General features: G+C 47.9%; 1 protein-coding gene across 3 annotated transcripts in view, besides 4 other annotated features; it reads left to right on the plus strand.

Moving 5' to 3' along the window:
• Positions 1 to 8,584, plus strand: part of DAB2IP (DAB2 interacting protein) — a 218,457-nt gene extending 209,873 nt beyond the window's left edge. The window contains exons 15-17 of one of the 3 annotated variants that reach the window (NM_032552.4): positions 4,518 to 4,605; positions 5,385 to 5,455; positions 6,590 to 8,584. In NM_032552.4, the coding sequence (NP_115941.2) occupies positions 4,518 to 4,605; positions 5,385 to 5,455; positions 6,590 to 6,599 (169 nt within the window). In that variant the 3' untranslated portion in view covers positions 6,600 to 8,584. Of the gene's footprint in view, positions 1 to 4,517; positions 4,606 to 5,384 lie in introns of all 3 variants that reach the window. The other 2 variants (NM_001395010.1, NM_138709.2) reach the window with 2 other exon arrangements.
• Positions 4,649 to 5,638: an enhancer, noted in NCBI's record as "H3K4me1 hESC enhancer chr9:124543874-124544863 (GRCh37/hg19 assembly coordinates)". NCBI's record gives its function as "activates a minimal SCP1, AML or CMV promoter by ChIP-STARR-seq in naive H9 embryonic stem cells {active_cell/tissue: H9 hESC(naive)}" and the evidence as "EXISTENCE:reporter gene assay evidence [ECO:0000049][PMID:30033119]".
• Positions 12,947 to 13,487: an enhancer, noted in NCBI's record as "OCT4-NANOG-H3K27ac hESC enhancer chr9:124552172-124552712 (GRCh37/hg19 assembly coordinates)". NCBI's record gives its function as "activates a minimal SCP1, AML or CMV promoter by ChIP-STARR-seq in naive H9 embryonic stem cells {active_cell/tissue: H9 hESC(naive)}" and the evidence as "EXISTENCE:reporter gene assay evidence [ECO:0000049][PMID:30033119]".
• Positions 17,714 to 18,451: an enhancer, noted in NCBI's record as "H3K27ac hESC enhancer chr9:124556939-124557676 (GRCh37/hg19 assembly coordinates)". NCBI's record gives its function as "activates a minimal SCP1, AML or CMV promoter by ChIP-STARR-seq in primed H9 embryonic stem cells {active_cell/tissue: H9 hESC(primed)}" and the evidence as "EXISTENCE:reporter gene assay evidence [ECO:0000049][PMID:30033119]".
• Positions 19,188 to 19,925: an enhancer, noted in NCBI's record as "OCT4-NANOG-H3K27ac hESC enhancer chr9:124558413-124559150 (GRCh37/hg19 assembly coordinates)". NCBI's record gives its function as "activates a minimal SCP1, AML or CMV promoter by ChIP-STARR-seq in primed H9 embryonic stem cells {active_cell/tissue: H9 hESC(primed)}" and the evidence as "EXISTENCE:reporter gene assay evidence [ECO:0000049][PMID:30033119]".

The raw sequence follows: 27,239 nt of genomic DNA on the forward strand, positions 1-27,239 counted from the left end.
AAGGGGCCTGGGTTATCTGGGAAAGGGCTTCAGAGGAACAGCGGGTTTTAATGCTGACTCTCATCTTTTTGAAGGCTTATGTCAGGCCCCATGTTGGTGCCTCCATCTCTGTCTCTGGCTCTGCCTATGGGTAGGGCATCCCTACCTTGGTGTCAGGCAGGGAGTACAATCAACCCCAGGGTCCCAGTCGTGGAGTTTACTTCCTTCTCAGTAATACCAGGCACGGGAGGAGAGACAGTGTGTCTTGTTTGAATTGGCCTGGTCTAAGACCCCATCAGCTGGACAGACCAAGCAGGTGTGCAAGAGCCAGGAAGGCCTCTGCTCCATGTTTTGTCTATGACATAAGCCCTTCCCAGATTCCTCCTATTTAGACCACCTGTTTCTCTGTTCCTGACTGTTGTTTGCTCCATTTACTTGTAGTTTGGTTCATTATGAAATAGTTAACATGAGTGAAACCAGGGTGGCTAGAAACCTGCTGTTCACTTGTTCTCCAGCTCTGCTCTTGGCTCACCTTGTGTGTGTTTCCAAGAATGGAAATGCTTTTCAATTTAACTGCCTTCTCTACATTGTGTGTATTCTCTGATATTTGCATGTTCTGAATTCAGAGACTTGCTTAACACGTTCGTTTCTACTAACCAATCCTGGAATATTTCCTCCTTAATGTAAATGTCAGTTAGGTAGATAGTGTTCAAGTATTCCATATCCTTACTGGCTTTTCTATTTCTCCCTTCATTCCAACTGGTTTTTGCTTTATGTACACTGAAACTATTCTTAGGTGCATATACATTTAGGCTGTTTATGTACTATTGTTGAATTAATTCCAACTGGTTTTTGCTTTATGTACACTGAAACTATTCTTAGGTGCATATACATTTAGGCTGTTTATGTACTATTGTTGAATTAACCTCTTTGTCATTATAAAATCACTTTCTTTATCCCTTGAAATATTCTTTGCTCTGAAATCTGCCTTGTCTGCTATTAATGTAGCCACCCCAACTTCCTTTTGATTCGTGTTGGTATGGTATAGCTTTTTTTATCCTCCTGCTTTTAACTCATTGTCTTGGTCCATTCAGGCTGCTATAACAAGGTACCTTAGACTGGGTAATTTATAAACAACAGAATATGTATTGCCCTCAGTTCTGAAGTCTAACATCAAAATGCCAGCAGATTCAGGGTATAGTGACTCTCTGCTTCATATTATAGTGCACCGTTGCTGTGTTCTCACATTGTAGGGGGTGTGAGCAAGCTCCCTTGGGCTTCTTGTATAATATAAAAGCACTAATTCCATTTTTGAAGGCAAAGCCCATAGGATGTAATCACCTCTCAAAACCCCTACCTATTAAGATAATCAATCACCTTGGGGGTTAGGTGTCAACATATGAATTTAGAAGGTGACACAAACATTCAGAGCATAGCACCCATCTATATATATGAAGTGGGTTTATTTTACGGGCACCATACTATTGGGTCTTGCTTTCGTCTAAATGGTTCTGCCTTTTTATTGGAGTGTTTTGACCATTTACATTTAATGTAATTATTGATATATTTAAATCTGTTGCCTTGTTTCCTATTTGTACCATCTGTTCTTTTTTTCCTGCCTTCTTTTGGACTGAGTATTTTTTTATGATTCCATTTTCTCTCCTATTGACTTATTAGCTTTATCTCTTTGTTGCTCTAGGGCAGGGATTGGCAAACTTTCTACAAAGGAGCAGATCAAAAGTATTTTAGGCTTTGTAGGCCATATGGTCTCTATTGCAACTGTTCAGCTCTGCTGTTACAGCAGAACTATTTGTGTGAGATGGCTATTTACAAAAACAGGCAATGGTCCAGATTTGGCCCTCACCCTGAGGCTGTAATGACAGGGAGTCTGTCATTGTCTTTGTTCCTCTGTACTTTATGTATCTGTTTTCCCTGGCTATTTATAAGATACTTTTTTTTTAAATCACTGGTTGTCAGTAGTTGGATTGTGATGTTCATTGGTGTGGTTTTCTTCTAATTTCTTGGGTCTTGGATTTGTATGTCTGCAGTCCCACCTCCCCCCATTTCTTTCTCTGGGATTCCTAGCACACGTGCATTAGGCTGACTCATTTTGTCCCGTATCTCACTGATGCTCTGTTATCTTCTTTCTTCATTTTTTTTCTGTTTCTTCTCTTTGATAGTTTCTATGACTATGTCTTCAAGTTTGCTAATTATTTCTTCTTCTGTGTGTAACCTGCTATTAATCTGATCCAGTATTTTTTCACAGCAGATAATTATATTTTTCACCTCTTAGAATTTCATTTTGCTTTAAATTCCATCAGTTTTAATTCTCATTGTGCTTTTACTTCTGTTTTCTGAAACATGTAGAATATATTTATAATACCTTGTTGTTTTCATGTCCTTGTCTAATTCTATCATCTGTGACATCTGAGTCTGTTTTTACTGATTTATTTTCCGCCTGCTTATGAGTTTTCCTACTTCTCTCTGTATACTTGGTAATTTTTGGTTGGATGCCAGGCATTGTGAATCTCACAGTGAGGTGCTGAATGTTTTTGTGTTCCTTTAAATCCTTTCTGGGGGCTTTATTCTGGGAGACAGTGAGGTTACTTGGAATCTGTTCAATCCTCTCAGGGTTTCCTTTTAAGTTTTGTTAGGCTGCGTCCTGCAGAGCCTTTAGTCTTGGCCTAACGTGGCCCTGCTCTGAGGGGGTTTCCTTCCCCGGGTCCTCTGTGATTCCCAGTGTTGGTGCGTCACTGCACTCTCACTGGTACAACATGAACTGCTTCTGCGATTGTTTCGTGTTCTCCTTTCTGACGGTTCTTGCCTAGCCTGGTAATTTTCTCATCTGCATGCGGATATTATTCAGTCAGAGACACAAGGGGAACCCCCACTCGGGAGCTATGTGGAGTTTCTCTCTGCCTCTTGCTCCTCTCTGGCTTCTGCCCTGCAAATCCCACACCTCTTGACCTTCCTGACCTGCCTGTCTCCTCAACTCAGTGAGGCTGCTGACTCCGCCTTCCCTCTGCTTCCAGGCCGTTCACTGGGCTCTCCTTGTTGGTTTCTGTTCTCCTAGAAATTATTGTACTGCATTGCCTGTATTGTGTCCATTTTTCTGGTTTGTTTGTTTGGTTGGTTTTTAATAAAGAGATGGGGTCTCGCCATGTTACCCAGGCTGGTCTTGAACTCCTAGTCTCAAGTGATCCTCCCTCCCTGGCCTCCCAAAGTGCTGAGATTATAGGCGTGAGCCAATGTGCCCGGCCCTATTTGTTTTTAAGACAAGAGAGTAAATACAATCTCCTTCCAATCTAATTTTCCTTAATAAAACAAATACCCTCCTGCCACCCCACCCCCAGCACAAGCTTTCCTCAGAGTGATACCTTCCTGTACTGGGGAACCTGCCCCGGAGGGTCCCCCCCGCCACCACCGCTCCTCCCAGTTAGTGCTCCCTGAACTGCTGCCCTGCTGCCCCCATTACAGTCCCGTGCAGAACCGGCCCCGGCACAGTGGCTCCCTGTGTGTCTTCTGTGAGTGGGCTAAGTGCTTGCCCAGTGTGCGGTGGCTGCTCTAGGCTGGAGGAATCAAGAGGGCAGGGATGGAGAGAAGCCTTGGGAGTGGAGGGCTCATCTAAGAGTGTGTGGAGCAAGGAGAAGGGAGGCTGAGGCCAAAGCCCTGTGGACCCCCATGTCCAGAGGCAGACAGGACAAGGCATCTAGGAGACAGGCAGACCCAGAGAGTGTGGGGTCTCAAAGCCAAAGGAGAGTGGGAAGGTGGGAGTGCCCAGCAGTGAGAGTGTCTCAGGAACCAGCCAGGTGGGGCCAGGAGGGCTCCCAGGCAGGGAGCAGCAGGACGGAGCCGGCCTCCTGCCCACTGAGCTTCCGCGGGTGGTATGTCCCCCAGCTACTGCTCATTGTTCTGCCTGCACACCTGTCCTTCAGATGTCTCCTACTGATGTGCGACCTCCCAGCCCACCCTCCAGGGAACGTCACTGCTTCCTGCTCTTTGTTCCAGGGACCTGAGCTTTCCACTAGCGCAGCTGCTCCGTGCAGGGTGTAGTTAGTTACTCGTGCCTCCTGCCTTGTGAACTCCTTGAGGGAAAGGACTAGAGTTCATTCATCTTGGCACCTCGCGTACAACTTTGTGAAGATGGCGGGGGCAGGGTGGAAAAAGTTCTAGAGCCTTTCAGGGCCTTCGTCTTTCCACCACCTGCCTAGCTCTAGGGGTTTGAAGATCTAATGCCCATTTCCACCCATCTTGGCTCCTGGAAGAACATCGGGAAAGGGGCAGCCCGGGGGCCTCTGGGGCTTTAGGAGCAGCGAGTGTGGGATGTGGAGGTGAGGAAGGAGGCCCAGCAGTGTCAGTTGCTGGGAGTCGGCTGGAGGGCCTCTGCCCCAGGCAAGTATGGGAGGCAAGTCTCTGACCCAAGGAGGGGCTCTCCTAGTGTGTCCCTGCTGTGTGCGGGGGTGATGGGCTTGTTCTCACACCCTCCCCACCTCTGCTGCCTCCAGGGCCAGTCTGACTGTCTCTGTCTCTGGCTATAGGTTGATGTCCGTGGAGGAAGAACTGAAGAAGGACCACGCAGAGATGCAAGCGGCTGTGGACTCCAAACAGAAGATCATTGATGCCCAGGTGGGGGCTCCGGCCCTTTGGTCAGCCACAAGAGTTAAAGGGCCTGGGATTAGGAGGGGTGACTAGCCTCTCCATCCTCAGTCATACCTCACTGCAGACACTGAGGGGAATAAGAAACCAGAATCTGCCCTGAGAAGTCAGACCTGTGGTCTTAGTGGGCCACAAGCTCACTAGGACAGGCTGTGAAAGGAGAGAGGCAGCTCCTCCCCTGCCAGGGCTCTTGGCGGGCATTGTCTTTCACCAGGACTGCTGACCAAAGAGTGGAAGCCACCAGGAGGGCAGTGGGGGTAGGAGTGAAGGCAGGCTGGTCAGAGGGAGCAGTGGGGCTCTCGTTCACAACTATGGCATCCGGGCTGCATTGAGGGGAGACGTGAAAGGCTCTGTGGCCCCAGCCTCCTTTACTCAGGGCTGCACCGCTTTCCTTTCACTCACCCAGGAGTAGGCTGGGCCTTGCTCAGGCTGTAAACTGCACAGACCAGGAGCTGTGACCTCTGGTGTGTCATGCACACACATGTGAGCAAGGGTGCCTGCCCTAGGGGCCGCAGGCAGCCCATAGACAGCACTAGAGCTGCTGCATTTGGGCTGATAAGCAGGCAGCGAGGCTGTGTCCATGATGCTGCAGAGGCCTCTGCCTACCTTCTCTTGCCAGCTGCTCACAGCCCGGAGCCTGCCTGCCACCCTCATCTCCAGGCCACCCCCTTCCCCGATGCTTGTCGTAGGTATACACAGCCCTAAGGAGCCTGTCCCATGACCCCCGCTCACATCCCCATTGTCCACAGGAGAAGCGCATTGCCTCGTTGGATGCCGCCAATGCCCGCCTCATGAGTGCCCTGACCCAGCTGAAAGAGAGGTACAGCATGCAAGCCCGTAACGGCATCTCCCCCACCAACCCCACCAAATTGCAGATTACTGAGAACGGCGAGTTCAGAAACAGCAGCAATTGTTAACCTGCCTGAGGAGGGAGGAAGCTACCCAAGGAGAGGGGGACTATGGTGGCCAAGGGCAGGGTCTCGGCCTGGGGAGGCACCCACGGTTGCAGCCCCAGCGCGGGTGTCAGGAGGCCGAGCCTCCCCTCCCTGCCGCTGTCCAGGAGGCGGCCGCAGAGGGAGCCACCAGAGACTGAAGCAGCGTGAGGCGAGGTCACCAGCCGCTCCCTGTGGGGTGCGGGCAGAAGAGACTGCACGCTGGGGAGTGGGGACAGCCTGATGGGGCAGGGGGCCTGCCAAAAATATGTCTGTTGGTTCCTGAATGTGGTGTGTCCTTGTCCTCCTGGATCTGGCCGAGTGCATGTGTCCCCCCACACCTGTGCCAGGGAGGGGGCTTCCTGGAGGGGGGATTCAAGGGCTAGGGGCCTACACCTGTGGCTTCCCCTCGCCTCCTTGGGGGGCCCGGGACTCCCTGGCAGCCAGGCCCTGTCATGTGGGACCTGGCACTTGGCAGATCAGTTGGCAGGCAGGAAGATAGGAGGACACAGAGCAGGAGGTCAGTGTCCCCTGCCTGTCTCCATCCGAAGCACCTGCCACTGCATGCAGCCTGTTGGGACCTTCCTGGCTGTGAGGAACTGAGGATTCCTACCCACCCACCCCCTCTGAACCTGTCCCCAGAGCACCACCTGCTACCTTCTTCCCTGCCTTAGTTGTATTGCCAGATAGACCCAGTGAGGGCCATGGCTTTTTCTTGTGAGCTCTTGTCCCTGTGGGGAGGACCCACAGCTTCCCACACCTCCCACACAGGCCCAGGCTGATGCTCTAGGGCTCCCAGAAGCCAGAGATCTGGGCGGATCTGGCCAGATGGCTCTGAGCACTGTATCTGCCTTCTCCTGGGGCCCAGCACACCCAGGGCACAGTGGTCCTGTAGGGAGTGCCACCTGGTGCTCACCCTGAAAGAAAAGGTGATCCTTCCTCTGAGTGATGGTTTAAAAAAAGATTCTAACGCCTGCAGGCCCTGAGAAGGTGGATAACTGTGATTTTTTTTCCTTTCACAGTATGCATTAGAAACAAAAGCCCGCTTGCTCGCTTGCTGGAACACAGGGGCCTTTTAAGTTGAGCGTGCGCACTGCATGGGAAATAGCGGCCCTGGAGGATGTTAGACTTGCTCCCTCTCCAAGACAGCAGCAGCCTGCACCTGCCCCGTGTGTGTGGCCGGCCTCCTCCTCACCCTTCCCGGCCCCCGGCCAAGGACCCAGGCGCTGCATACAGGGGAGGGGCGCACCCCACAGCTGGGGCCGGTTTTCCTCAGCTCTAGGCTGTTCTGTAGCTTATCTGCCCCTCCCCCACTTTCAAGACAGATGAGCAGGAGCTTGGGTCTCTCTCGGCCCCTGTCTGTTCCCAGCCCCTGCAGATTCTGAGCAAAGGCCCTGGGTAAGAAGGGTGGGAGTGGGGCCTTTGCCAGCAGAGCCAGGGCAGGGCGAGCTGCAGGAATCACCCCTCTGCCCCTGCAGCTGGAATGTGCCACAGAGGCCCCACCTGAAGGGTGGATGTGCTGGAGGGGTGGCCCAGAGCCATACTGCGTCCACCCTGAGCTCGGGGACAGGTGACAGTGGCTGCTCTGGGAAGGGGCTTTTAGATGTAACCTACAATTCAGTTAGGCTAGAGACAGATGCTGGTGGAGGAAGGGCTGGGCCACCAGGGATCACAGACCACAGGAAGATGGGAGGTGGAAGCAGAGGCCCTGCCCCCACCCCTTCCTGTCTCACTCTTCTGTCTTGTCCCCACCCATGCGCCTTCGTGCCTGAGACCAGGGTGGCCACACAGGCAGGGCCTGGCTCCAGTCTCATCCTCCCATTGCCCAGTGAGCCCTGCTCTTCTCTCCCCAGCCCCCTCCCACCGCTGCCTCGTAGAGTGACCTCGGACAGAGCCCCCCTAGCAATACAGGGAGGCTCCCGGGGCCTGGACAGGCGGGCTCGGAGGCTACCCGCTGTGGCCGGTGCCAGCTGCCCTTGCAGGGTGGGTGAGCTCTCAGGCCGAGAGCCTTATTTACCTAGTGCAAAAACTGTAAAAGTGTACAGACTCTTCACAGATTTTTATCTTAATTGCAAGTCTGCCGATTTTGTAAATGTTCTTGGTGTTTGACTGTAATGTAACTATCTCACCTAATGGTTGTACATATCCTTTGGTCCTGGTGCTGCCGAGGGCTGGCCGGGACTGCTGCTCTCCCAAGGGTTTTATTTTATTTCTGAATCTAGAGAACAGTATTGGGCAGGAGGAAAAGGCTTGGTGTCTGCGGGGGGTGTCTTCCCTGCCTGTGGCATTTGTGTGTTGGCTTTGCAGCTGCTGTCTGAGTAGTGGCCACTGGGGTGCCTTCACTGGGCCAGTCAACGGGGGGCTCCTGCCCAGGCCACAGAGAACCTGAGTTCCCGGGAGCTGGGCCCTGCCTGCAGCCAGGGCTGGGGTTGCCAGAGGCCCTGGAGGGAAGGACAGTCCCTGCTGGGGAAGAACAGCCCCGGGGCCCCCTGGTCACCGAGACTCAGCCTCTGCTGGAGAAAGCCACGCCCTCCCTGCTAGCACAGAGGCCTGACTGACTTTTTTGCTTAACTTCCATGTTCTGGGTGATGGAAACTGCCAAACCTCCTGTCAGTGAGGACTCTTTCCGACTGCCCAGAAAGTGGGGGTGGAGGACCGAGGCTACAGCTCCACACGCCCCGGTCCCCCAGAGCATCTGCCCCAGGTACACCTCCCCCTGCGCCCCGCACGACTGCGGGAGCCAGACTGTCCAGGGAAACAGCCTCTCTCTTTTCTACACACTCAGCCACAAAGCCCCCCAGCTCCCACACCGCGTCCCAGCTCCCCTCTTTTGTAAGTATGTGAAAAGGAAAAAATGCAAACGTTGGAGTTTGGGCTGGAGCTCCTCCCTCCAGCTGCGACTTTTAACTATGTAATAATGTACAGAGGAAGCTGTTGGTGTTCTAAGACTCTGTGTGGCTGTGCAATTTCTGTACATTTGCAATTAGAAATATTAAAGATTTATTTAGCTATTTTAAGCCCGACTCGTGTCTCCATTCAGCTGTGTGTTAAGGGATGACCCTGAGTCCGGAGCGGACACTGTCCTTTACCAAGGGGACCCCAGCATCTGGTTCACTCTGGTGGCATTCGTGGGCAGGGGATACCCCTAAAGCCAGTGGTGGTGGTCTGGCCAGCTTGGCTCACTGGGAGATCTGGGATTGCCCCCTCCTCCTCTGGGTTGAGGGGTCTCTGCACCAGGGAGTAGAGCAGTTGTCCTCTTAAAGGCTCTTCTCTGGCTCTGATACGTTTGGAAGAAAAGTCTGCTGGTCCCACCACCTCCTGGGAGACAGGGTGGTCCCAGCACCTTCACTGCAGCACACACTGGCTCTTGCCAGGCCCTGCATTAAGCGCTTTCTCATCCACTGAAATCTGGCTCTGGGAGGGAAGAGACCAGGGAGAAGAGGTGGGCCCAGGTCCCAGCAAGTCATGGCAGGGCTGGACTAAACATTTCCAAGCTTTCAACACCTTGAAAGTCAGACTCGGGCTCTCCCAACACAGACCCACCTGCAAGGCTGAACTCAGGCCCTTGTTGGGAAATAACCAGCCCCCAAGCCCCTTCAGCTGCACCTGTACAGAGAACCTTGCAGCCCTGGGTCCTGCCCTGCATCTTCAGCATCTCAGGATCTGGTCTTTCAGTGCACAGTAACTCCAGACGCTCCAAGGGACAGGTCCTGGTCCCAGCCCTAGCCCAAACCCCTCAGAAACCAGATACTGCCTGGGCCGAGCTTCTGCTGGGGGCAAGGATACCTCTGGTCAAAAAGCCAGATGGAGCTCCGGGTCTGTCACCTAGACAGGTGCCTCTGGCTCCAGCTAGGGATTGGGCCCCAGAGAGAAGCCTCGGGCCTGTCCCTGTTCTTGCCCCTGCAGCCAGCTGGAAGCAAGTACGGCAGAGCCACACACCGGAGCAGGGCTGCACCGTCACCCTCACCGGTGGCCCTTGTGTCCCACCTCCCACCCTCCAGCACCCTGGCTTCTCAGGCTGTCCATCTCTAGCCTCCTGCCAGGACCCCCTTTGAGCCAGCCACTCCTGGGGCCCACCCTGGGCTGCTATCACCTCTGACCTAGGAAAGTGTCATCCGTGCTGCTCACAGCGGGCACAGCTGCCAAGCCTTCCCTGCTCATCCTCCACATCAGCACTGGTCTGCAGACCGGCCCCTTTCCTCCCCAGCCTGTGTGTTCTCTCTGCCTTCCCCCACCAAGCCTAAACCCTGTGGGCTCCCTCCTCAGCCCATCTTGACAATATTCCTTGACCACTTCGGCCTAGGGGCCACCCAACAGCCGTGATCTCCAGGCCACCAAGCACTGCAGGAGAAAACTAAAAAACACCCCAGTTCTGACTGCCCTGTGGGTCTGTTCCCATCTCCATTCTCAGCTAGGCCTTCCTCTCTCATTCTCCACCCCAGTTAATCCAAACTCGTACCTCTTTTCAGATCTCCCAGCCAGCCAACTGGCCCTTCTCTGAGCCCTGCCTCCTCCCACACTGGGTGACCCCCCCAACCACCACCCCCTCTCCTCAGGCCGACCACCAGCACAGCTACCCCAGCTCTCAGCAGCGGCAGGAGAGGAGGCAACCTGTTTCTTCCCAAGGCAGCCCCTAGCCAGTTCCTGCATCCCTGCCTCTTGCTGCCTCCGTGGCCTCTAAACCTCCAGCCTCCCCCGCCCCCACCCCGCTCTTTCCTACAGCATTTTAAAGTGCTAGGTCTCCACTTGCTTCAGGCTGTCTGCTTTTCTCCCCTTCAGCCAAACTTCTTGAATGTATACTGCCTGCAGCGGCCTGCCATCTCCACAGCCTCAACCCCCATTCTCCCCCCACCCATCAAAACCTGACTTTGACCTCCCGCTCCTCCACCGCCCCATTGCCTCTGCACTGCTGTCCCGTCCCTGGGTTTCAGGGACCACCATCCCTCTGCTGGGGAGATGCTCATAAGGAACACAGAACTCAAGGAGACAGCAAGGAATGGGACAAAGAAATCATTTGATGTTGATAGGCATCTATTTTATACTTGTATAAATGTAAGGGGTACAGGTGCAATTTTGTTGCATGGATACATTGCATAGAGGCAGAAGCTGGACTTTTAGTGTATCCATCACCCAAATAGTGTACATTTGCCCATTAAGTAATTTCTCATTACCCACCCCCCTTCCACCTCTCCACCCTTCTGAGGCTCCAGTGCCTACCATTTCACACTCCATGTGTACGCATTATTTAGCTTCCACTTAGAGAAAATGCCAAATTTGACTCTCTGAGTTCTTTCTGATAGGAGGCATTTATAATGAAGACATAAAAGGCATGAACTTCTATTTGTGGATAAAATAGCATCAACTAGAAAGCAAACTGCTAGAAATGCAAAGGAAGAAATTGACAGAAACAATTGCATTTGAGAGTAACACACCACTAGTATTAGCTTATTACAGATCAAGGAGGCAAAAAAATAAGAACCAAGAGGATTTTAATAATTAATAAGGTTTAATAACCTGGGATGCATCAAGCTCTTACCCTAGAGAGAGCACACCCTTTTTTCAATTATAATTTGGAAGACTACCCGAAGCTGACTGTATACTGAGGTATGAAGAAAACCTTAGAAAGTTACCCAAAGAACCAATTCGGGCCACATTCTGTGTCTTGAAGCAAAAACAAACAAAAATCCCAAAACCCAGAGATTGGTAACAAATGTTGAATTTTTTAAAACTACCATCAATAAGTTTTAAAAAATAAATACAGAATCAATAGATTCAAAAAGAAAATTGTCTTCTAATTGAACCAGGTGTATCGTTATATTGACCACATGCATTTCTCTCTCTTTCCTCCGCAAACCACTGTACTGACAGAAAAGAAATAAAAGCGTTAACCTCTATAAGGACAAAATTAATTTGGGAGATAAGAGAATTTGGAAAATCTTGGCAGATGGAAGGGGATGAAGGAAGGAAGGAATGAAGGCGAATTTAGCAGAGCAGAGGGAGAAACCAACCGGAAATGAGCTTATCAGGTCCCAAGGAACCCCCAGAGGCTCAGCAGTGGGAGGTCCCCCTGTGTGTTTTGTGGTGGGGGGCAGAGGAGGAGTCGGGGGGTGGGGAGGTACACCAGGCCAGAAACATGGGGATCAGAGCCCAGCCTCCTCCCGCTCCTCTGCACAGCCAGGAAACTACTCTTTCCCCCTCATCTCCTTGCAAGGGACTGGATATTTAGTCTCTGGAGAAATGGAGCCAGGTATACTCTGGACTTGGGGACTCAAGGCAAAGCAGAGGGCTCTGTGAGGGTGAGGCTGCCAACAATGTTCCTCTCCAACCCCCGCAGTCCCATCACTGCTCCCAAAGTGCCCAGGGCCCACGGGTCCAGCCCCCAGGGAGCTGATTGGAACATCCTTTGGAAAAACCAGCTCCCAGGTATTTCCCCCACCTGAGTCACTGTCTGAGCATCCCAAGGTGGCACCCCCCAATCAACATGCCCTGCACGCGCGTGCGCACACACACACACAAATACACACACACACAAATACGCACACACAAATACAGAAACACACACACATACACAAATACACACACACACAAATACGCACACACACAAATACAGAAACACACACATACACAAATACACAAATACAAAAATACGCACAAATACACAATACACACACAAATACACATAAATACACAAATACGCACACACAAATACATATAAATACACACAAATACACACAAATACACACAGAAATACACACGCACACGCACACACACAAAACACATACACATACACACGAATACACACAAATACACACACAAATACACATACACGCACACACATGCACACACGCATACACACATACACACACATACACGTGTGCGCGCGCACACACACACACACACACGAAGAACACAGATAGTTGAGGACTCCCCAGACCGCTGAGGAAAGCTTGCAGTGTGAAAAGGAGAGGCCAACCTAACCAGCCTGTAAAAGGAAACAGAGGCAATGCAGGGAAGAGATGAGCCTTAAAAAAATAACCCACAACTGGCTGGATGCAGTGGCTCACGCCTGTAATCCCAGCACTTTGGGAGGCCGAGGCGGGTAGATCACTTGAGGTCAGGAGACCAGCCTGGCCAACATGGTGAAACCCCATCTCTACTAAAAGTGGAAAAATTAGCCGGGCGTGGTGGCACGCACCTGTAGTCCCAGCTCCTCAGGAGGCTGAGGAACAAGAATCACTTGGACCAGGGAGGCAAAAGTTGCAGTGAGATTATGCCACTGCACCACACTCCAGCCTGGGTGACAGAGAGAGACTCCATCACCAAAACTATATATATATATATGTATATTTATATATACATATATATATACACACACACATATATCACATCACATCATATATATACACAATATATACACACACATATATATACATGATATATATACACACATATATATACACATATGTGTGTGTGTGTGTATATGATATATGTCAGGCCTCTGAGCCCAAGCCAAGCCATCGCATCCCCTGTGACCTGCACGTATACGCCCAGATGGCCTGAAGAAACTGAAGAATCACAAAAGAAGTGAATACGCCCTGCCCCACCTTAACTGATGACATTCCACCACAAAAGAAGTGTAAATGGCCGGTCCTTGCCTTAACTGATGACATTACCTTGTGAAAGTCCTTTTCCTGGTTCATCCTGGCTCAAAAAGCACCCCCACTGAGCACCTTGCGACCCCACTCCTGCCCGCCAGAGAACAAACCCCCTTGACTGTAATTTTCCTTTACCTACCCAAATCCTATAAAACGGCCCCACCCTTATCTCCCTTCGCTGACTCTCTTTTCGGACTCAGCCCGCCTGCACCCAGGTGAAATAAACAGCCATGTTGCTCACACAAAGCCTGTTTGGTGGTCTCTTCATATGGACGCGCATGAAATTTGGTGCCGTGACTCGGATCAGGGGACCTCCCTTGGGAGATCAATCCCCTGTCCTCCTGTTCTTTGCTCTGTGAGAAAGATCCACCTACGACCTCAGGTCCTCAGACCGACCAGCCCAAGAAACATCTCACCAATTTCAAATCCGGTAAGCGGCCTCTTTACTCTCTTCTCCAACCTCCCTCACTATCCCTCAACCTCTTTCTCCTTTCAATCTTGGTGCCACACTTCAATCTCTCCCTTCTCTTAATTTCAATTCCTTTCATTTTCTGGTAGAGACAAAGGAGACACATTTTATCTGTGGACCCAAAACTCCGGCGCCGGTCAGTGACTGGGAAGGCAGCCTTCCCTTGGTGTTTAATCATTGCAGGGACGCCTCTCTGATTATACACTCACGTTTCAAGGGTGTCAGACCACTCAGGGACGCCTGCCTTGGTCCTTCACCCTTAGCGGCAAGTCCCGCTTTTCTGGGGCAAGAACCCCCAATCCCTTTTCTCCGCGCCCCAACCTCTTATCTCTGTGCCCTAATCCCTTATTTCCACGCCCCAACCTCTTATCTCTGCGACCCAATCCCTTATTTCCGTGCCCCAACCTCTTATCTCTGTGTCCCAATCCCTTATTTCTGCACACCAACCTCTTATCTCTGTGCCCCAATCCCTTATTTCCATGCCCCGACCCCTCTTCCCACTTTTCTGGAGGGTAAGATCCCCCGAACCCCTTCCCTCCGTGTCTCTACGCTCTCTTTTCTCTAGGTTTGCCTCCTTCACTACGGGCAACCTTCCACCCTCCATTCCTCCTTCTTCTCCTTTAGCCTGTGTCCTCAAGAACTTAAAACCTCTTCAACTCACACCTGACCTAAAACCTAAACGCCTTATTTTCTTCTGCAACACCGCTTGGCCCCAATACAAACTCGACAATGGCTCTAAATGGCCAGAAAACGGCACTTTCGATTTCTCCATCCTACAAGACCTAAATAATTTTTGTCGAAAAATGGGCAAATGGTCTGAGGTGCCTTATGTCCAGGCATTTTTCACATTTCATTCCCTCCCTAGCCTCTGTTCCCAATGCGATTCCTCCCAGAACCTCCTTCTTTCCCTCCCACCTGTCCCCTCAGTCCCAACCCCAAGCGTCACTGAGTCTTTCTAGTCTTCCTTTTCTACAGACCCATCTGACCTTTCCCCTCCTCCCCAGGCCTAAGTCCCAATTCTTCCTCAGCCTCTGCTCCTCCACCCTACAGTCCTTCTACCACCTCCCCTCCTCACACCCGGTCCGGCTTACAGTTTAGTTCCGCGACTAGCTCTTCCCCACATGCCCAGCAATTTCCTCTTAGAGAGGTGGCTGGAGCTGAAGGCATAGTCAGGGTACATGTACCTTTTTCTCTATCAGACCTCTCTCAGATCAGTCAACATTTAGGCTCTTTCTCATCAGACCCCACTAAATACATACAGGAATTCCGGTATCTAACTCTGTCCTACAACTTAACCTGGAGTGACTTAATGTCATCCTGACTTCTACCCTCTCCCCAGATGCACAGGAAAGAGTTTTTTTCTCTAGCCCAATCTCATGCTGATAACCGCCGGCTTCATGAGCCAGACCTCCAGGAAGGCATTAGAGCAGTTCCCCGAGAGGATCCCCAATGGAACTACCAGGCAAATTCCCCAGGTATAGCTAAGCAAGATTACATGGTTTCCTGCGTAGTTGAAGGGCTTAAAAAAGCAGCTTACAAAGCTATTAATTATGACAAACTTAAAGAACTACCCAAGGTAAAGATGAAAACCCAGCCCAGTTCATGGCCCGCTTAGCAGCAACCATTAGATGCTATACCGCCCTAGACCCAGAGGGACCAGAAGGCCGCCTTATTCTTAATATGCATTTTATCACCCAATCCACTCCTGACATTAGGAAAAAACTTCAAAAATTAGAATCTGGCCCTCAAACCCCACAACAGGAATTAATCAACCTCGCCTTCAAGGTGTACAATAATAGAGAGGAAGCAGCCAGACGGCAACGCATTTCTGAGTTACAATTACTTGACTCTGCTGTGAGACAAAACCCAGCCACACCTCCTGCATACAGGAACTTCAAAATGCCTAAGCCGCAGCAGTCAAGCATTCCTACAAGACTTCCTCCATCAGGATCTTGCTTCAAGTGCCAGAAATCTGGCCACTGGGCCAAGGAATGCCCACAGCCCGGGATTCCTCCCAAGCCATGTCCCATCTGTGCAGGGACCCACTGGAAATCAGACTTCCCAGCTCGCCTGGCAGCCACTCCTAGAGCCCCTAAAGCTCTAGCCCAAGGCTCTCTGACTGACTCCTTCCCAGATCTGCTTGGCTTAGTGACTGAAGATTGACGCTGCCAGATCGCCTCGGAAGCCCCCTGGACCATCACGGACGCCGAGCTTCGGGTAACTCTGACAGTGGAGGGTAAGTCCATCCCCTGTTTAATCGATACGGGGGCTACCCACTCCATGTTGCCTTCTTTTCAAGGGCCTGTTTCCCTTGCCCCCATAACTGTTGTGGGTATTGACGGCCAAGCTTCAAAACCCCTGAAAACCCCCCGACTCTGGTGCCAACTTGGACAACACTCTTTTATGCACTCTTTTTTAGTTATCCCCACCTGCCCAGTTCCCTTATTAGGCCGAGATATTTTAACCAAATTATCTGCTTCCCTGACTATTCCTGGACTACAGCCACATCTCATTGCCGCCCTTCTCCCCAACCCAAAGCCTCCTTCCCTTCTTCCTCTCATATCCCCCCACCTTAACCCACAAGTATGGGACATCTCTACTCCTTCCCTGGCAACTGATCACATGCCCATTACCATCCCATTAAAACCTAATCACCCTTACCCTGCTCAATGCCAATATCCCATCCCACAGCATGCTTTAAAAGGATTAAAGCCTGTTATCACTTGCCTGCTACAGCACGGGCTTCTAAAACCTATAAACTCTCCTTACAATTCCCCCATTTTACCTGTCCAAAAACCAGATAAGTCTTACAATTTAGTTCAGGATCTGCGCCTTATCAACCAAATTGTTTTGCCTATCCACCCCATGGTGCCAAACCCATATACTCTCCTATCCTCAATACCTGCCTCTACAACCCATTATTCTGTTCTAGATCTCAAACATGCTTTCTTTACTATTCCTTTGCACTGTTAATCCCAGCCTCTCTTCGCTTTCACTTGGACTGACCCTGACACCCATCAAGCTCAGCAAATTACCTAGGCTGTACTGCCGCAAAGCTTCACAGACAGCCCCCATTACTTCAATCAAGCCCAAATGTCTTCCTCATCTGTTACCTATCTCGGCATAATTCTCATAAAAACACACGTGCTCTCCCTGCCAATTGTGTCCAACTGATCTCTCAAACCCAAGCACCTTCTACAAAACAACAACTCCTTTCCTTCCTAGGCATGGTTAGCACGGTCAGAATTCTTACACAAGAGCCAGGACCACACCCTGTAGCCTTTCTGTCCAAACAACTTGACCTTACTGTTTTAGCCTAGCCCTCATGTCTGCGTGCAGCAGCTGCCGCTGCTTTAATACTTTTAGAGGCCCTCAAAATCACAAACTATGCTCAACTCACTCTCTACAGTTCTCATAACTTCCAAAATCTATTTTCTTCCTCATACCTGACGCATATACTTTCTGCTTGCCGGCTCCTTCAGCCATACTCACTCTTTGTTAAGTCTCCCACAATTACCGTTGTTCCTGGCCCAGACTTCAATCTGGCCTCCCACATTATTCCTGATACCACACCTGACCCCCATGACTGTATCTCTCTGATCCACCTGACATTCACCCCATTTCCCCAAATTTCCTTCTTTTCTGTTCCTCACCCTGATCACGCTTGATTTATTGATGGCGGTTCCACCAGGCCTAATCGCCACACACCAGAAAAGGCAGGTTATGCTATAGTACAAGCCACTAGCCTGCCTCATAGAACCTCTCATTTCCTTTCCGTCGTGGAAATCTATCCTCAAGGAAATAACTTCTCAGTGTTCCATCTGCTATTCTACTACTCCTCAGGGATTATTCAGGCCCCCTCCCTTCCCCATCAAGCTCGAGGATTTGCCCCACCCAGGACTGGCAAATTAGCTTTACTCAACATGCCCTGAGTCAGATAACTAAAATATCTCTTAGTCTGGATAGACACTTTCACTGGATGGGTAGAGGCCTTCCCCACAGGGTCTGAGAAGGCCACCGAGGTCATTTCTTCCCTTCTGTCAGACATAATTCCTCAGTTTGGCCTTCCCACCTCTACACAGCAGTCTGATAACGGACCAGCCTTTACTAGCCAAATCACCCAAGCAGTTCCTCAGGCTCTTGGTATTCAGTGGAACCTTCATATTCCTTACCATCCTCAATCTTCAGGAAAGGTAGAACGGACTAATGGTCTTTTAAAGACACACCTCACCAAGCTCAGCCTCCAACTTAAAAAGGATTGGACAGTACTTTTACCTCTTGCTCTTCTCAGAATCAGAGCCTGTCCTCGAGATGCTGCAGGGTACAGTCCATTTGAACTTTTACGTGGATGCACTTTCTTGCTTGGCCCCAACTTCATCCCAGACACCAGCCCTCTAGGCGACTATCTTCCAGTCCTCCAGCAGGCTAGACAGGAAATTCGCCAGGCTGCTAATCTTCTCTTGCCTACTCCAGATCCCCAGCCCTATGAAGACAACCTAGCTGGACGATCAGTTCTTGTTCCTCCCAGGCCCTCTTGTTTACTTATACCCAGCCCCGAAAATAACAGTGAAAGGTTGCTCGTAGATACTCAACGTTTCCTCATACACCATGAAAATCGAACCTCCTCCTCTACGCAGTTACCCCATCAGTCCCCATTACAACCTCTGACAGCTGCCACCCTAGCTGGATCCCTAGGAGTCTGGGTACAAAACACCCCTTTCAGCACTCATTCTCATCTTTTTACTTTACATCTCCAGTTTTGCCTCGCACAAGGTCTCTTCTTCCTCTGTGGATCCTCTACCTACATGTGTCTACCTGCTAATTGGACAGGCACATGTACACTAGTCTTCCTTACCCCCAAAATTCAATTTGCAAATGGGACCGAAGAACTCCCTGTTCCCCTCATGACACCGACACGACAAAAAAGAGTTATTCCACTAATTCCCTTGATGGTCGGTTTAGGACTTTCTGCCTCCACTATTGCTCTCGGTACTGGAATAGCAGGCATTTCAACCTGTCACGACATTTTGTAGCCTGTCTAATGACTTCTGTGCTAGCATCACAGACATATCACAAACTTTATCAGTCCTCCAGGCCCAAGTTAACTCTTTAGCTGCAGTTGTCCTCCAAAACCGCCGAGGCCTTGACTTACTCACTGCTGAAAAAGGAGGACTTTGCATATTCTTAAATGAGGAGTGTTGTTTTTACCTAAATCAATCTGGCCTGGTGTATGACAACATAAAAAAACTCAAGGATAGAGCCCAAAAACTTGCCAACCAAGCAAGTAATTACTCTGAACCCCCTTGGGCACGCTCTGATTGGATGTCCTGGGTCCTCCCAATTCTTAGTCCTTTAATACCCATTTTTCTCCTTCTTTTATTCGGACCTTGTATCTTCCATTTAGTTTCTCAGTTCATCCAAAACCGTATCCAGGCCATCACCAATCATTATATACGACAAATGTTTCTTCTAACATCCCCACAATATCACCCCTTACCACAAGACCTCCCTGCAGCTTAATCTCTCCCACTCTAGGTTCCCACGCCGCCCCTAATCCTGCTTGAAGCAGCCCTGAGAAACATCGCCCATTCTCTCTCCATACCACCCCCCAAAAATTTTCGCCGCCCCAACACTTCAACACTATTTTGTTTTATTTTTCTTATTAACATAAGAAGGCAGGAATGTCAGGCCTCTGAGCCCAAGCCAAGCCATCGCATCCCCTGTGACCTGCACGTATATGCCCAGATGGCCTGAAGTAACTGAAGAATCACAAAAGAAGTGAATACACCCTGCCCCACCTTAACTGATGACATTCCACCGCAAAAGAAGTGTAAATGGCCGGTCCTTGCCTTAACTGATGACATTACCTTGTGAAAGTCCTTTTCCTGGCTCATCTTGGCTCAAAAAGCACCCCCACTGAGCACCTTGCGACCCCACTCCTGCCCGCCAGAGAACAAACCCCCTTTGACTGTAATTTTCCTTTACCTACCCAAATCCTATAAAACGGCCCCACCCTTATCTCCCTTCGCTGACTCTCTTTTCGGACTCAGCCCGCCTGCACCCAGGTGAAATAAACAGCCATGTTGCTCACACAAAGCCTGTTTGGTGGTCTCTTCACACGGACGCGCATGAAAAAATATATATATACATATATATATATATATACACATATATATGTGTGTGTGTATATATATATATGTATATATATATGCTGGAATGACAGCCTGCCTTCCTCTTGCCTTAGTTCCAACTTTGGGGTTGCTTTTTTCCTTAATACGCCTTGACAATACGCCATAGTCACAAACCCCAAAGCCTTGGTGACCTGGCAGCAAATGAGTAACTGAAGCAGCCCTGCTTGAGATGACACCCAGACCCAGTGTCGGGGACATCAAGGAGGGGTGGAGACTGGAGGGAATTGAAAAGCATATGCCCTTACTAAAGGCAGCAGGGAATCTTTGCTGTGGATTTACAAACCATCCATTCTCTGTTGACTCCTCCATTTCTATACCCAGCCCCACCACGCCCCAAGCTGCAGATTCACAGGGCTGAATGCCCACTTGGATAGTTCACAGGCATCAAACTTGTTATGTCTGAAATGGAACCCTTGACTTTTCTGACCCCTGAACCTGTTCCTCCTCTCATCTTCCAATCCCAACCAATCCCAAAACACTGCTCCACTCTCCTCCCCGTTGCTCCAGCCAAGAGCCAAGTGTGACTTCTTGATTCTTGCACATTAAAAAGGATTTATAGGTCTGGAGCAATGTTCATGATACATTGTGGGTGAAAAGCAAGCAGTAGATCAGTATGTCCCATTCCTTTAAGGAAAAATAAATAAATTACATATAATAAATTACATCAAAGAACAATGTGGACGCAGATGCATCACCCTGTTCACGGCAATTTCCTCTGGGTCGTGGGGCTCAGCAGGATAGGGAAGGAGGACTCGTATTTTCTACTTTATATTCTTTAGTATTGCTTGAATATTTTACAACCAGTTTTTGTTTCTTGTTTTGCTATGGAGCCATTTAAAAATAAATAAAACATACCCATATAATGAAACACTATGTAGCCATTAAGTTTGTAGAATAATAATAAATGACATTGAAAGATGTTAATAATATATTAAGTGTAAAAGCTGATAACAGAATTGTATGTGCAGGAGGATTCTAGTTTAGTTTTTGAACTATATTTGCAAAATCAGGTCTGGATTAGGAGAGAGTAGAGTGTAGGTAAGAGCTTGAGCTTGGGGAGAAAGGGGATGTGGATGTTGAGTCTTAATGGCTGTTGATTAGCCATAGAGCCCTAGGCAAATTGGGAAAGCCTCTAAGTCTCAGTTTTCTCTACTGTAAAATGGGGATAACAGTATCTACTATAGAGAGGTCTTCTGTAAGGATTTGGAAATAATGCTTTTCAACCCTCTACTTAGCACAGTTATTGACATATAAATAATACGTGTGACCTATAAGAGTAATAATAATTTTCTAATAAAATCACAAAACACTTTGATATATACTTATGATATAAATCACAAATAAATAAGATATATATTTGATATGTATCTTATTAAGGTAATAAGACACTGACCTAAGGATAATGAGATAATAAACGCCTTTATTTCTCTCTTCACTTAATTTTTTTCATTAACATACTGTTGCTTTTGTAATAAAAACACGTTAAAAAAGAATATCTCAAGCCAGTATTTATATTCAACATCATATTCAACATCATCCTTAAGAGCAAAACCTTCTCAATGAGGTAAGAAACAAGACTTGGATGCAGGTCTCTGCCACATTTCAATGCAAAAAGGCAGGAAATAAACTAATTATGGTTATTGGGAAAGAGAGGTGAAAGATGGAATTGTCTTCCTAGACTTTTCCAACAGAAAAATGGCCCCTTTTAGGTAAAGTGGCCTGAATACACAATAAATATACAAAATCGAGATTGCTTCCCCAGATACCAGTTGGTGCCTGTTAGTGAGATTGCAGAGGGTGGGGGTGGGCTGGTGATGGCTACCAGGAGAGGTGGGTGGATAGGGGACCGAAAATCTGGACAACCCAGTGAGGGTGCACACACAGTCTGGATGGTCACTAGACCCCTGGCCAAGGTGGAAAGCCTGTCTCCAGTGCACACCCCACAATGCTTCAAGACCCTGATCTTATTATCTGGTGAATATTGGAATTATGCTATACAACAGTTTACTTAATTTGTATTAAAACATTCATGTTATGTATTCAACGTAAGTGTTCAGAATTTATGGGGTTTTTTTATAACTCTCTTAGCATTTCTTTATTTTTATATATCCTTAAAACATCCAGAAAACAAATTAGTCGAAGATTCCTGTCCTCTGAGAGGCCCAGCCAGTCAGAAACAGAAACAGTCACTTCCCCAGGGGATGGTAGTCTGACTTTGGCCATGCCCTTCCCGCCTGCCACTGGTACAGTGGATACGAGGGGACCAGAGAAGCCACTCACCTGAGGTGCAGGGTCCCTGAGGAAGCCTGCAGTGGAGTCCCTGGGGGCCCACACTTGGTAGTGTCCAGTCTTTGCTGATGCGTGAAGTTTGGCTTCATGCCCATCATGGACTGACAGGAGGGAGTTCAAACTATGGAGTCAGTAGGTAGGGGGACCCCCCTGGAATTCGAAATTAGGGACCCTGGAGAATCTCAGGAATATTTTATTTATTTATATTAATTTTTTTTTAGATGGAGTCTCGCTCTGTCACCCAGGCTGGAGTGCAGTGGCACAATCTCAGCTCACTGCAACCTCCGCCTCCCGGCTTCAAGCGATTCTTCTGCCTCAGCCTCCCAAGTAGCTGGGACTACAGGCATGTGCCACCATGCCTGGCTAATTTTTGTATTTTTAACAGAGATGGGGTTTCGCCATGTTGGCCAGGCTGATCTCAAACTCCTGACCTCAGGTGATCCGCCTGCCTCGGCCTCCCAAAGTGCTGGGATTACAGGCATGAGCCACCGTGCCTAGCCTACTTTTATTTTTTAAAATATTCCTAGATATGACCCTCAGTGATAAAAATAACAAATGCGTGTGCTAAAGAATACATTTTTAAAACAGTAAACCTTGGCTCTCATGCAAATATAAAATGAACATATATTTAGTATTTTCAACACATTAATTGATGAGGGAACCAGTCAGTTGTCGAAACCAATTCAAAGGAGAATTCAAAAAACCACTCTTACATAGGCAATCACAATTGTTGAAACAAATTTACAAATAGATGCAAAATTGGTCTCTCTTCAGGGCAATAATCAAGTGCATTCCACCAAATACCACGTATTTGCATTTCTTTAATTTTTTTTATTTTAGATAAAGAAAACGTGGCACATATACACTGCAGGCTTCCTCAGGGATCCTGCACCTCAGGTGAGTGGCTCCTCTGGTCCCCTCGTATCCACTGTACCAGTGGCAGGCAAGAAGGGCATGGCCAAAGTCAGACTACCATCCCCTGGGGAAGAGACTGTTTCTGTTTCTGACTGGCTGGGCCTCTCAGAGGACAGGAATCTTCGACTAATTTGTTTTCTGGATGTTTTAAGGATATATAAAAATAAAGAAATGCTAACAGAGTTATAAAAATAACCATAAATTCTGAACACTTACGTTGAATACATACATGAATGTTTTAATACAAATTAACTGTTGTATAGCAAGGTACACAATGGAATATTATTCAGCCAGAAAAAAAAGAATAGAATCCTGTTGTTTGCATTCCTATGGATGAGAATCACACGCACCATGATCAGCTTTTCATGACTTAACGGAGTTAAAAAGCAGCTCAAAGACAATGAAAGGCAAGTAGTGGATGTAGGACATCCAGTAATCCTTTTTGCCTATTTTATTTTATTTACTTACTTATTTTAAGACAGGGTGTCGCTCTGTTGCCTGGGCTGGGGTGCAGTGGCACGATCTCGGCTCACTACAACCTCCGCCTCCCGGGCTCAAGGGGTCCTCTTACCTCAGCCTCGCAAGTAGCTGGGATTACAGGCATGCACCACCATGTCCAGCTAATTTTTCTGGGTTTTGGTAGAGACGGGGTTTCACCATGTTGCCAAAGTTGAGTCCTGGGCTCAAGTGATCCACCTGCCTTGGCTTCCCAACGTGCTGGGATTACAGGCTTGAGCCACTGCACCTGGCCCCTCCTAGTTTAAAGACTTTCACACATTTTTCTGCTTACAAAAAACCCTCAGAAATATATACAGTTAAAAGGGATTTCCTCACCTACAAATTCCCCCCTGTAGATATATACTGTTAACTGTTTATCAAGGTTTCTGACAGGCTTGATTCCTGCACACACAAAGTGATACTTTAAAGACAAAAATAGAATCACACTACACACAGATCAATAGTTGCTTTTTTTCACTTGGCAGTATATCATGAACATAACACTACAGATATAATTCTTTTTTGTGTGTTACTTTATTATTTTATTTTTAACCATTATACTTGCACATGGTCTAAAAATTTAAAATCCCTGGAAACAGATTTATTTTATTTTTTTGAGACAGAGTCTCACTCTGTCGCCCAGGCTTGAGTGCAGTGGCATGATCTCAGCTCACTGCAACCTCCGCCTCCCAGGTTCAAGCAATTCTCCTGCCTCAGCCTCTCGAGTAGCTGGAATTACAGGCACCTGCCACCACACCTGGCTAATTTTTGTATTTTTAGTAGAGACGGGGTTTCACCGTGTTGGCCAGGCTGGTCTCGAACTCCTGACCTCATGATCCACCCGCCTTAGCCTCCCAAAATGCTGGGATTACAGGCGTGAGCCACCACGCCCAGCCTAGAAGTTTTTAAAAAGCCTTTTGCTTTGGAAATCATTTCTGACTTACAGCTAAGTTGCTAAAATCAATGGTACCAGGAATACCGTGTGCCTTTTACCTGTAATCTATTAATATTTTTACCCCCTTAGCTTTATCATTCTCAGTCTCCCTCTTTCCGCACACACATGCACACACATACACACACAATTTATTTTCTGAACTGCCTGAAGTTAAGTTACATACATCATAGCCCTTTATCTAACCTAAACACTTCAGTAGTATATTTTCACTAAGATTAGGAATATTCTCTTACATAATCAACTTCAGTCAATTTAACATTGGTATACATTTTTATCTACTCTCAACATTCACATTCCAATTTTCTGAGTCGAACCAATAATGTCCTTTTTCAGTAATTTTCCCCTGTAGTACAGGAGGCAGCCTAGGGGCAGGGGCTGCAGTTAGCTGTCATATCTCTTTAGCCTCTTTTAATCTGGAACATTTTCATAGCCTTTTGTGATCTTTTATGGCATTGACATTTGAGAAGAATACGACCAAGCACACCCACCTTTTTCAAAAATAGAAAAGCATTTGTCTGATGTTTCCTTGGGACTAGTTTTTGGTTCTTCATTCTTAGCCAAAATCCTGCATAGAGCGTATTGAGTCCTTCTCAGAGGAGCACATCTGGAGGCACAAGACAGCCATCTGTCCTTCCTTGGTGATGTTAATTTTGATCACTCGATCAAGGCGTTGTCCAATTTCTTCACTGTATAATTACTGGAGTTTTTTGATCTTCTTTGCAACTAATAAGCAGTCTGTGGGGAGACACTTTGAGACCATGAAAACATTCTGTTCCTCATCAGAATGTTCCCCTAGATTTAGCAACCATGAATGATTCTTAATTGATCCCATCTTTACTAGGATAGTTGCAAAAGATGATTTTCCAACTCTAACAATCTCTCCACTTCGCCGGTTGACTCTCAGAATTCTCTCGTCAGCATAGGTCCTCCTTCTCCCCCACATATTGATAAATCTATTTACTATTGGTATAGATTCAGAAATTTCCATTTTTAAGGGTTTATATTTCATTACTTTATTATTTTGGTGCTCAAATAGTCCTAGATTTTGCCACCGGCAGCCCCTTTAAGCTGCTGACATTTCCCCCAAAAGTGCTTTTGATCATTCCTTATTTTCTGGTGTAACAAAACGTCCCAGGCTCACAATGTACCTACCCTGCCCAAGCTCTCAAATTAGTCATTTCTCCGAGAAACCCTGGGTAATGGTATTAAGAACCAAGATCTGCGAGCTAGTAGAATGGCTTTTCTTCTTGACCTTGTCAGCAGACAGAACTAGGAAATAAATACATATATGTGCATATACACATCCACGTGCACACAAAAGTGCATATACACATTCTACAAATCATGGGTTTGCATCTGTACCTCCAATTCCATGGAATCTGAAGTTTAACAGGCACCCCCGGGAAGCAAGCTCCTGCATCAGGCAAATCAGGAAGAACCTGCAAATGCTCATCAGAGGAGAAAGCAACCCACAGGAGGGAGAGGTGGGGCTGCTCCCTGCTCCCTGCACCGAGCAGGGCACCCTACAGGAATAGATGAGCCCGCTAACCTGCAACACAGGGCAATGGTGAGTCTTGCTTTGCTCCCCATCAGAGCATGTCGGAGATGCAGAACCCTCTTAATGGGTCTTAAATAAATGCTGGAGTGGTTCAAGTGATGTTTCCTCAATAAACAGGAGTGTGCTGCTAGGAGAAAGGAACGGGCTGAAAACAAGAACTTGGAAGGAAAGAATGTCATTGCTGATGGTGGACAACAGAATGTGTGTGCTGAAAAGTCAAATCAGTGATCCATTCTAGAACATCGGCTTGAAGCATCCAAGAATAAGGCAAAAGAGAAATAATTGGAAATTAAAGGGACAATAAATAAATGGGAATATCTCATTCATGGTAATAATTCAAGAAAAGCAAATAAAAATAACAAATATCTATATTTTTTGGTCCAGGAATGTTTAGGTAATAGAAACACAAAAGGAATCAACCTAAATAGAGAAAAATATATGAGATTTGTTAAAGAACATATAGGGGCTGGGGTTCCCTCTGCCACTGCATGTCACATTGCATCGCAAACTTTTTTTGGGGGTGGTGGGTATCCATCACTTCAAGCATTTCTCACTTATTTGTGTTACAAACATTCCAATTATACTCTTTTAGTTTAGGGTCTTTTGTTTTGTTTTGTTTTGTTTTGTTTTGTTTTGTTTTAAGACGGAATCCTGCTCTGTCACCCAGGAGTGCAGTGGCGCAATCTCGGTTCACTGCAGCTTTTGCCTCCCAGCTTCCAGAGATTCTTCTGCCTCAGCCTCCTGAGTAGCTAGGAGTACAGGCACATGCCACCACGCCCGGCTAATTTTAGTATTTTTAGTAGAGACAGGGTTTCACCATGTTGGCCAGGCTGATCTCGAACTCCTGACCTCAGGTGATCCATCTACCTCGGCCTCCCCAAGTGCTAGGATTACAGGTGTGAGCCACTGCACCAGGCCTAGTTATTTTTAAATGTACAAAAAGTTACTGTCAACTGTGGTCACCCTGTTACGCTATCAAATATTAGGTCTTATTCATTCTTTCTAACTATATTTTTGTACCCATTAATTATCCCCACTTGCCCCGTCCACCCTCACCCTCAACACCCTTCCCAGCCTCTGCTAATCGTCATTCTACTTTTTATCTTCATGAGTTCAACTGTTTTAACTCTTAGCTCCCACAA

Source organism: Homo sapiens, chromosome 9 (genome assembly GCF_000001405.40).
Source record: "Homo sapiens chromosome 9, GRCh38.p14 Primary Assembly".
In the NCBI taxonomy this organism is placed as follows: Eukaryota; Metazoa; Chordata; class Mammalia; order Primates; family Hominidae; genus Homo; species Homo sapiens.